At 44.7% G+C, this 11,269-nt stretch overlaps 1 pseudogene, besides 1 other annotated feature; it reads right to left on the bottom strand.

The window, feature by feature from the left end:
- Positions 1,250 to 5,042, bottom strand: ABHD17AP6 (ABHD17A pseudogene 6; annotated as a pseudogene).
- Positions 1,739 to 1,858: a silencer, noted in NCBI's record as "silent region_8309". NCBI's record gives its function as "represses an Ori minimal core promoter by ATAC-STARR-seq in GM12878 lymphoblastoid cells {active_cell/tissue: GM12878}" and the evidence as "EXISTENCE:reporter gene assay evidence [ECO:0000049][PMID:35858748]".

Raw genomic sequence — 11,269 nt, 5'->3', positions numbered from 1 at the left:
AAGAAACATTCTACTAAATTATTGAAAACGGAATTGGAAATTTTTAGGGTGCAAATATTCAAATTTCACACTCAAAATTATTGTTTTCCTCCTAAAATTCTAAAAGTTATAATAAGTAAATGTAATAATGTAATAACTAAAATGTGACATTATAATCAATGGGTATTATGATTTGCTCTCTTTAAGGTTCTGAAACGTATTAACTAAAAAAAGTAAATACTTTAAACTTCTGTAGATGTGTATTCTTGCTATTTTGTACAGATGTGAGGGAATGTAATTTATTCTCTATTTTTATAACTAGAGCTATAAAACATATAACCTATGCAAATGCTTGTAACACACATGCAAAAAAAAATAATAGTTTTCCAAGAATGCCTACAATCCCCAGGCTTCTCACAGTTGTTCACTCAGTGAAATATGTTGTGTGTTCTTAGCTTTACGAATGTTTTTCAATTGGTATTTAGAATACATCTGGACCACGATATACTGATGACATTTGGCATGTATTAAGAAATAACAAACCCATTTTTAAACACCCTATTTCCAGAAATAACAGGTTAAATTTGGTGAAACAGTACAGTGAATCTGTATTTTTAACTGGGGGCATATGCTTAGGCAAGGGCATATTGGTTATTATAATGAAAATAGAGAAAGGGATGGGCAAGAAAGGAATAGTACTCCCACTCATCTCCAAATGGGAAAAGAAAGACTATAGATTTGGGAATTAAGTCTTAGAAAAGGAGATTAACTGTGCTAGGCAAAAATTTAATTAATAAATAAAAAGTTGGCCAGTGCAGACTTACTTTAATGAGCTCCAAAATAATTTAAAATGATATCATTCCAGTTTAATAAATATTATTTGTGACTTCTACATTAGATACTATATTTTCATCTGGAAAACTATATTTTTCTACATGATAAGTAATCAAAAACACATATTAGAAATTTTAATTGTATATATTTATCTGTTCAAAATAACTATAAGCTAGAGAATTTAGATATTAAAAAATAATAATGAATTATGTTATAATTATTTTGTGCCAGTTATTACTTTACATTACATTTATTAACTCATTTGATTCTTGTAACTTTACAAACTCCTAGTATTTTCTAAAGTTATTGCTAGCTAGGCATTTTATGTTCAGGAAAGTTTAAAACTTTGTCCAAAATTTCCCAGTTAGAAAGACACTGATTGTGGATTCAAATCAAGGGTCCAGATATTGTGTTCTTGATTTCTTTTTTTTTTTTTAATTTTAAATCTTTAATTTCCGTTTTCACGTATTTTCTTCTTGCTTCCAAAAGGAAAGGAGTGCGTAGCTCTGTTGCCTGTACATCGTCCACAGCCCCTGGGTCGGGGCGGGGTCCCCCGGGCCGCCCGGGGGGTCCACATGCAGCCCCTGGGGGGCCGGCGCGGGGTGAGGTCCGGGGGCCGCCTTATTGCTGAGGTCCGGCCGGTTGGGGCCGCCGCTAGGCGCGCTGGCTGGGCAGCTCCTGGGAGATGAAGCGACGCAGGCGCTCCAGGTACTGGCTGTAGAGCTCGATGTCGTTGTGCCCGGCGCCCTCCACCCACAGCGGCTCCACCGCCTTGGGGCAGCGCTCGTAGAGCGCCAGCCCGTGCGAGAAGTCGATCACCTCGTCCTCCGTGCCGTGGATGATGAGCACGGGCGACGTGATCTAGGACACCTTCTCGATGCTGCGGGAGGGGCGTGGAGCGGGTGAGACTTAGCGCCCGGCCCGGGCCCCGCCCCGCCTCCGTCCCCGCCCCGCCTCCGTCCCCGCCCGGGCCGCTCACTTAGGGAAGGCGTCGAAGCAGTAGGTCGTCTTGGTGTCAGGGAAGGCGACGCGCATGCCCGAGGTGAGCGGCGAGTGCAGCACCACCGCGGCACACTCGTAGCGCGAGGCCAGGTCCACGGTGGGCACCGTGCCGATGCTCTGCCGGTACAGGATGATGCTGTCCGGGCTGATGCCGTACCTGGCAGCGCCGGAGCAGGGTCAGCCGCGGCCTCCGACGCGCGCACACCCTTCCCACCAGCGGGCGTCCCCGGGCCCAGCTCCGGATGCGACCCTCCAGTCTCCCCACTCAGCCAAGTCAGTGGGTCAGGCCCAGGCTCCACACCAGTCCCGAGGGCCACCCCCAGCCCCCAACACCGCGGCGGTGGGCGAAGCCAGCGGCCCCGCCCCGTTCCCTGCGCTGCCGTTCACTGGCGTTTCCTAGCTAGGATCTGCAGGGATCTCGCCTACGGAGTGCCCCTGGGGCGGGGGTAGGGGAGGCCCTGGCGCCTTTCCTCCTCCTGGTCACCCCTAGGTGCACACTGGGAACTGTGTGGCCCCCACATCCTGAATGCTTCACGCCTTCCTGCCCGGGTTAGAAAGCCGTTCCTGGTGCACTGGCCAGGACAGCGGACACTTCCTCCCTGCAGCCCTTGCCCACCCCCTTGGCCATGAGGAATTCAGGCAGCTGTGTCCCCAAATGTCTCCACCCAATTTTGGACTCTCGGAGTCCCCACGCCCAATGAGATGCCAGTGCAACCCAGGTCAGCATCGAGGGTGGTGGCTGCGGAGGTGGTCCTCCCACCAGCACCTTCCCTTGGGAGTGGACAGGTCCTCAGCCACCTCAGCACTACCAGCTCCCACCCAGGGCCACCCCCATCCCCAGGTCATTGGTGTGTGGCCCCTGACCCAGCTGATCCAGCACCAGTTACAAGGCCTCCTCGTGCCCAGTCCCAACCACGCGGGACCCACCTGCCACCCTGCCCATGCCGGGACCCCACAACTCTCCTCCCACAGGCTCTAGGCTCTGATCCCAGGCAGATGCCCTCTTGCAAGGCAGGAGCATGGGCAGGTGTGCATCCCCTCTGCCTGGCATTTGGACTCCACCAGCAGGGCTGTCCCCGTCCCTGGCCTGGAATCCCAGCCTCCTGGCAGCACTCCACAGCTCGCCACTCACCCATGCCCCAAAGGATGCTGCCTGGCTTGTGCCTGTGGTTCCAGCTCTGCCTCAGCCTCCCTGGCCTGCTCCCTGGCAGCCATGGTCAGTAGTGTGCTGAGCCAGCCCAGCCCTGTCACCTGCTACAGGCAGGAGCCCCCAGCTGCCACCTGGATGTCACCACTCAAACGAACAGGACACATCCCCAGTGGAGGCCCTGGGCACGCTCTGGCCTCCCCCTCACAGCTCTGGGCCTAGGTTCCTGCAGGACAAAGTGGCAGCAGGACAGATGGCCGAGCAGACAGAGCTCAGAGGTGGCCATGGCAGGTGTGACTCTGCCAGTGGCCCAGGCAGTAGAGACAGGAGGGGCCAAGGAAGTCGCATGAAGTGGTGATTGGTGTCAGCGTCCCACACTGCTGGGAGGCCCCCAGAGCCAGGGTGGTGCCAGGGGACCAGCTCCCAGGCCCACAGCAGGGACTGCCTGCATATCACCAAGGCAACGATGACCCCACCTCCCTAGGGCCTCTGACTTCTCAGAGCTGTGCCTGGTCCCTGCGGGAGCAGGTCAGACCAGTGGGCTGGGCTGGGCCAGGACGAGACAGCCCCAGTGGATGGCGAGCAGGAAAAGCCACCAGAGGCCCACCTGGGTCTCCTCGTCCAAAGCAGCACTGGCCCGGGCGGTGCTCAAACACCGGTGAAGGGCCCAGGCAAGCGCAGGGCTGGGGACGTGGATGACTAGGAGGGCTGGATCTGGAATCGAGGCTGGCCCAGACCTCGGATGTGTGCTGCGAGTCTGCACCTTACCCTGTAGGCCCTGCCCCAGGATGGCCAAGCTCCGTAGCCACAGGGCCTCATGGGCCAGGCCTCCGGACCTGGATGCAGCAGCCTCGCCTCACTTGGCCCCAAGTGCTGCCTCGGCCGATGGGCTCCCAGCCACACGTGCACAGACCCCCAGACGACCACCCACTCCCTCCCGCCGGGTGGCATCCACGCCCCTGTGACAAGCTCAGCCCCTTCCCATCCTCAGGCCAGGGGTTCCCAGGGAGCCTGGCTCCACAGGCCAGGGTGTGGGAGGACCGCCTGGCCACACCTCAGCCATGTGGAGGAGGCACCTGCACACCCAAGCTCGCCTGTCCCGCTCTCTGGCCCTGTGTATCCACTGTGGCTCCCCTCCTGCAGGGCCGCCCACCTTCCTCCCAGGGAAGCCCGCCCCCCGGCCCCCGGCCTGGTCCCCTCTTGGGTGTGCCCAGGCTGAGCTGCCCCCAGGGTCGCCCTCACCTGGTGCGCAGGGCCTGCCAGGCGGCGTCGATGTCGGCATAGAGGTTCCTCTCGGAAGGCCTGCCCGAGCTGGCATCGTAGCCGGAGTAGTCGTAGGAGAAGATGTTGCAGTGGAGGCGGGAGCCCAGGCCAATGTAGAAGCTGGCACCAGGCACGCAGCGAACATACATGCAGGAGACGCGGTTGCCGCTGGCGCTCTTGGTGGGGAAGACCTCGATGGTGTCCAGCTCGCGCTGGCTGTACTGGAAGTCGGTATGCTCCGTCAGGTGCAGCTTCCTGCGCCCGGGTGCGGTGCGCCCGAGGAGGCCCGCAGGGTCCCCAAGGGGGCGGTCCCGGCCCCACCAGGCCCCGGCTTGGGCTCAGGCACCAGGGTGTAGGTGGCCTCCGGCGGCAGGAAGGCGAGCTTGGCAGCGATGCGGCCGGGGCAGGGCGGGCAGCAGAAGAGGCAGCAGAGCTCACTCAACGACAGCCCGTTCATGGCGGGCGCCGCCTGGGCCGGGCCTCCACCGGGGCCCCCGCCAACAACGCCGCCCGGCCTGGCCCGGCAGGGGAGGGGTGGGGGTGCTCCGAGTCGCGGGCAGAGGGGAGAGCGCCCCCGCAGCTACCGCCCCAGACAGCAGCCCCGTTAGGAGGCCAGGGCCCAGCCCCATCGCGGTCCAAGCCGAGCCCCAGGGAGCCTCGCAACCACAGGTCTCCATGTCGTGCCGTGGGAAGCCCACCCCGGCCCGCGCCCCCGGGCCCCAGGGCCGCGCTCCATGGCTCCCGGCCGCCCGCCCGTGCGTCCGTCGGTCCCTCCGCACCCCTGCCCGGCCTCCTGCACCGCCACCGCCGCAGCTCCTGTGTTCTTGATTTCTAAGAGCTCTTGAGAGTATTTTAAATGAATGCCACCTGTCATAATTTTAAGACTTTTGCTTGACGTTACTAAAGTTACCTCCAGCAGAATGTGATTGGTTATTGCCAGAACAAATTACGCTGTAGATTTTTTGTAAATTCTGATGCAGTTTTCACATGTATTATGTAAAAAAAAAAAAAAGAGCCTTAATTGGTGTTTCTATATTTTACATTCTAAGACATTAATTTTGTTACTCCTTGATGCCTGTGTTTTTTCTTCATTACAGGAAGGAATTCCTGTTTTTGGTATATAAGCCAAAAGAAAACACTGGGTTTAGTACATCAACATATGTGGTTGCATTTTTTTACAAGTTATACAAGGTTTAGCTAATCCTAAAAAGGAAGTTTCACCTTCATAGTACAGTGTTGACACAGTTTATTTATGATCACTCTTTTGTTATGTGCACATGAACATATTTAATTTTCAACTTGGTTCCAAAGTCCCTTGTGTTCTTTTCTGTTTTGTAAAGTGCATTCACAGTTCTTTCTTATTTTTTTGTCATCATGCTTAAGCATATTCTCTTTATGTGCCTTCATCCAGATTGGGATATTGTAGGACAAACAATTTTCTTTATGTCATGGATCTTAATGGGTTGATATCTCATAGGCCTTTTTAGGTCAGTTCACAGTACTGGGCAATGGTACAAGGTCAGTAACTGGGCTTCCATACTCTACTGTTCAGTTGCTCTAAAACCGGACATTTTACTTGAAGCTTCTGTGCTTCAGTTTCTTCACTGCTAATACCACATGAGTATCACAAGAGTTTAATGAGTTAATTCAGGTAACATGCTGATGTCAGTGCTTGACACACAGTTCAGACCCTTTAAAAGTAAACTTTTTGAACAAGTGTTTGGGGGAAGAGTAGTAGAAAAGCACAAAATCAGATATGACTTCTTGGTAGTCTGATGTATATACAAAGACCTTCTTATATAATCAAAGTGTTTGTTGTGATCCTGAAAGGTAAACTATATGAATATTTATTTAAGTAAAAATACAGCTGAAATTGTTAATTTTTCTTTCTTATTAGGACACTCCTAGGAATGTTCAGTTTCTTAGCATTAATAGATTCATAGACAAAAGACTACAACAAATAACACTTGCGTTAAATGCTATGAAAGGATAATCAAAAAAGTTTACCTGAGTAAATTTTTTCTGGTGAATGACTAGTTGAATTAAAAATGAAACAAGAAAACAAAACATATTAACAAAAGAAGGGCAGTTTTACTGGTGTTCAATTTTTCAAAGCCTTCAAGTAGCTATAATTTAATAAAAAGCAATGCAATAGAAAAAAAATCCTGGATTCTTCTGGAATTGTATTTATTCTACGTCACTAACTTGTTGAAAATTATTTGAAATGAAAGTACAGTTATTAGAAATAATTGTATTTCATTTTATAAACACTATATTGTATCTTGATTTCATTAGAATTACATTTACAGGATTTACATTCCTTTCTTTCTTCATTTTTCAAAACAAAGCAGTGTCCTTCAGGCTCCTTTGCTGCTCAGTAACATCAATTAAAAGTTAGAGTCAAATTAACTGAAAAGTTTAGATGGAAAATGAAGCCTTAGAATGTTCTGAAAGCTGATGACTATGAAAGAGTGATTTGTCTGCAGCCAAAATGTCTTTACCCAATGCTACTCTGAACTGAAGGATGTAAGGTAATCAGAGTTTTCCCAATTTAAAAGATCATTTTCAGACGGATAATTAGGATAAAAATTAAAAGAAAGACTACTGAAGAAGTTATTAGGTGATTTCACTCTAAGATAATGTAGAATCAATATAGATTATCTGGATATGCTTGCACTAATTGTTAGAAAGAGAATGTAAATGCAGTTTATTGCCCTGCCATGGAATTATCTGGTTATGTCAGATCTTACATTCAAGCTCAGTGGAATGTTTGATGGTATAATTCTACTGATACTAATTGATCTACTGTTCTAGTCATTTGCTTTTGTGTAGTTTTTCAACAGCAAAAATATAAGCATGTTATTGACCTTTCACAAACACACTGCATATTATTTTACAGTATTGTTTGCAGCAATTACAGTGAAGAGTATATCTTTTTATAAGACAAGTATTACTAATATGAGTATTCTGTAGTGTTAAGTCTTAACCTGGGATCTGGTTATGCTCTCTTGATCTAAAACTTGTAAGTTAAATCTCTCTGCTCTCCCACACACAGTGTGTAATGTGATACAGGAACAGGAAAACTATAGTAAACACTCCTATTTGGAAAGAAAAAGAAAGTTCTGTTTTTCTTTCATATAGGCATTTACAAAAAATACCTGAAGTTTTGTTTATGTTTGCAAAGCAAGCAAGGTTGAGAGGTTGCTTATGAGGTCTAACTGGCTTTGCTCAGGGATTCATCAAGCTTAGTTACCATTTTAATGTATTAAGTAATACTATACTAAGTGCTGTATTAACGTAATAATGTCTTTAATATATTATAATGTGTTACATTATAATACATGTAACATAATGTATTTAATGTATATTCTACAATACTATATTAAATAATACTTTAATAGGTTTTGCTAGCTACCTAGGCAACCCTTAGTCCATTCAAGTTGACATCTAAAATTAACCACCATACTCACTATTGTAGAGACCAAATATCAACCAGTGCTAATACTCAGTGTTCTTACCTACGTTTGATGACACTGGAAATCATTAGGTACACAAATACTTCTGAAGTCAGCTCAGTGCACAGTGTTAACAATATGTCACTGCCACATATCACAGGTTCCCATTCTCCCCGACTGTGATAAAAATTTTCTTGTTACCTTCAAACTGACTCATAGGTGGGTTTGTTAGGGACACACCTTACTTCTCATTACAAATTTCTGTATCAGTCAGATAGTTACTCTTTTTTTTTTTTTTTTGCTAATTTCAGCATAATACATCACAATAATGAAAACTCAAAAAATAAAGAAAAATATATCGTTAATTCTAAAATTGAAAGGTATAAACTATTAATTTGTAGTTGTCTGCAATTCATTTAGCTCCTTTTTATTTAAATAAAACATTACTTTTTCCATTTGTGAACTTGCTATGAACATTTTTATGCCAGTATTTTTCTACCATACAATTGCTTTACCAATATTATGCAGTTTCATTATATCTATTGGTACAGCCTGGTATCAGGCTGAATTAGATTTACTGTTATAGTGTGTTGTTACTGTTTACAATTATTTAAAAGTGATTTTTCCGTCAATACTTGTAACTTGATTTTTGTCTTAGAAACTGGATTTTCTGCTTTTCTTTCAGAATGTGGAAAATTCAGAAGTAATAGAGCAACTTTGCTGCATGGTAGTGGTAGGCTGCAGCAGAGAAACTGTTGTCACACTTAGATACAGCATTCTGACTCCAGATTTTAATTGTCATTGGTGACTCTACCTTAATCTTGGTACCCTGTCTCAATGTGGCATTGATTTTGCAGTATTACAAATGCAGCTTTCAGAAATATATTTATATATTTTTGTGCGCATTCTGAATTATTTTCTTTTTTGTGTGTGACAGGGTCTTGCTCTGTCACCCAGGCTGCAGCGATGGAATGATCATAGCTCACTGCAGACTTGACCTCCTGTGCTCAAATGATACTCCTGCTCAAATCAGCCTAGGTTCATATGAGTCTCCCAAGCAGCAAGGATTCAGGTACCAGCCACTATGACTAGCATTTTTTTTTTTTTTTTGGTAGAGACAGAATCCCGCTATGTTGCCCAGGCTGATCTGGAACTCCTAGGCTCAACTGACATTATTGCCTCAGCCTACCAGAGTGCTGGTATTATAGGTGTAAGCCACCATTATTTTCTTATGATAAATTTCCAGTGGTAGAAAGCTATTGGGTTAAACTATACATTGAAGAGAGGGTGCTAGTACACAATATATATATTTGCATTTTATTGCAGTAATATAAATTATCCCATTTATTGCTGTTTTACACTGCTTCTTAAAGGTGAGGTGAGACTGAATTGAAAACTATGATTATTTTTCATTAATGTACCTTCATTTCTGAAATGATTTCATGACATTTTGCAGTGTTTCCAATGAGTAAGTGATTTTTATTGTTTACTACTGTTTTTCACAATTTGACAGCTTCAAGTTTTGATGGCTTATTTTCGTATATGTAAGTTATATTCTTTAAATGTTGATGTCAAATCTATTAAACTTTTTTATTATAGTCACTGTTCTTAATTATTTGCATACAGTTGTTACACTGTACAATCATTTGAATATTCACGTTATGATTTGTGTTTCCTTTTTTTTTTTTTTTTTTGAGACGGAGTCTCGCTCTGTCGCCCCAGGCTGGAGTGCAGTGGCGTGATCTTGGTTCACTGCAAGTTCCGCCTCCCGGGTTCATGCCATTCTCTGGCCTCAGCCTCCCAAGTAGCTGGGACTACAGGCACCTGCTACTGCTCCCGGCTAAGTTTTTTTGTATTTTTAGTAGAGACGGGGATTCACCGTGGTCTCGATCTCCTGACCTCGTGATCCGCCTGCCTCAGCCTCCCAAAATGCTGGGATTACAGGCGTAAGCCACCACGCCCGGCCATTATGATTTGTATTTTTAAGTCTTGTTTAACTATTTCCAGCTGAGTTCATTATTTTAAAGGACATTGTCAGAAGTTTGATTTTTTGCAATTTTCCAAATAACCCAATATCTAATGACCATTTATTGAATTATTACATTATAAAATTAAAATGTGACTCCAGATTAATGTTGAGAGCTTCCTATAAAAGGAAAATTATGTTCTTAGAAATAAACAATTTGTTGTTATTTGTGTAGAACATCTTGTGTATTTTAATCAGGTGGTATTAAAGGGTAAACTGTCACCCTCCTACCAAGTAAACCTTGGTTGGCCAGTTATGACTATATGTGAATGACTGGTATACTAGTTATTAATCAAACTAGACAAAAAGCTATAGAAATAAACCAAAGACTTTGGTTCATTTAAACACCTATGGTTTGAAGTCGATCATACCCAAATAGTGACCAAACCACTTTAACAAACTGTATATTATCAAACTTTTAACATCAATAGAAAATTTTATTTAAATTTAGATCATAGTAATGTTACAATTTTATGTGGAAATAACCTTCAGAAGTAAGGGTATTTTGAATTATTTTACTGTAGGTCATTTCTGTTATAATAGAAAATACTATTAAAATGAAATGGTCTAATAAAAATATTTCTAAGTCTTGCTTTATCCCTCATGCGCTTAAAACAGTAGAACAAATTCCTTCTCATCAACTACTTAGATAGCTACTTGGTTTTCTTTCCAATAAGATAGAACTTTTTATGTTTCACTGTGAAACCAAAATAACTGCTATAAAGTTAATGAATAGGTTTGAATTCATTACAGTCTCGGAAAAAGAAGCACTTTCTCTGTCTACCTCTGTTTTAGAGATGAGTATGAGAAAACGAACATCTCTGTTTTAGGTAACGTCAGTTCAGAGACTGAGTTTACTACACGCTTCCTGACTGTTAAGTGATATATATCTCACTTTTCAAACCTAAAATAAAATTTAAATCATAAAAAGGAGTAAAAGAGTTTTGTTACTTTTTTTTTTTTTTTTTTTTGAGATGGAGTTTCGCTCTGTTGCCCAGGCTAGAGTGCAGTGACGCGATCTCGGCTCACTGCAAGCTCGGCCTCTCAGGTTCAAGCCATTCTCCTGCCTCAGCCTCCTGAGTAGTTGGGACTACAGGCGCCTGCCGCCACGCCCGGCTAATTTTTTGTATTTTTTTAGTAGAGATGGGGTTTCACCGTGTTAGCCAGGATGGTCTTGATCTCCTGACCTTGTGTTCCGCCTGCCTCAGCATCTCAAAGTGCTGGGATTACAGACGTTACTTTTCTTTTAGTTTTAAATGGCTAAAAATATATTTAGTAATTGAAAGTTGCCTTAACACTTGTCCTATGAATGATTTGGATCTTTTCTATTTTGCTTTGAGCTACGTGGCTAGGACTTTCTAGAGAGTTAAGAAATAATAATACTAGGGACTTAGATGAACTTTCACAGACTCATTTAATACACTTTGTAGGACATTTGCAAATTCATAAGAGCAGGAAAAGAAATAGCATTCATTGTCACCATTATCACAAATAATTATCCTTATGTGTGAACTTTGCATTGCATCTTTTTGTTTTCTCGATGTCCCTTCAGTGAAAGGGAAG

The sequence above is a fragment of the Homo sapiens genome, chromosome 17 (assembly GCF_000001405.40).
Source record: "Homo sapiens chromosome 17, GRCh38.p14 Primary Assembly".
NCBI lineage: Eukaryota > Metazoa > Chordata > Mammalia > Primates > Hominidae > Homo > Homo sapiens.
Note: the sequence above shows the minus strand (reverse complement) of the source record. Positions and strands in the feature narration are given on the sequence as shown.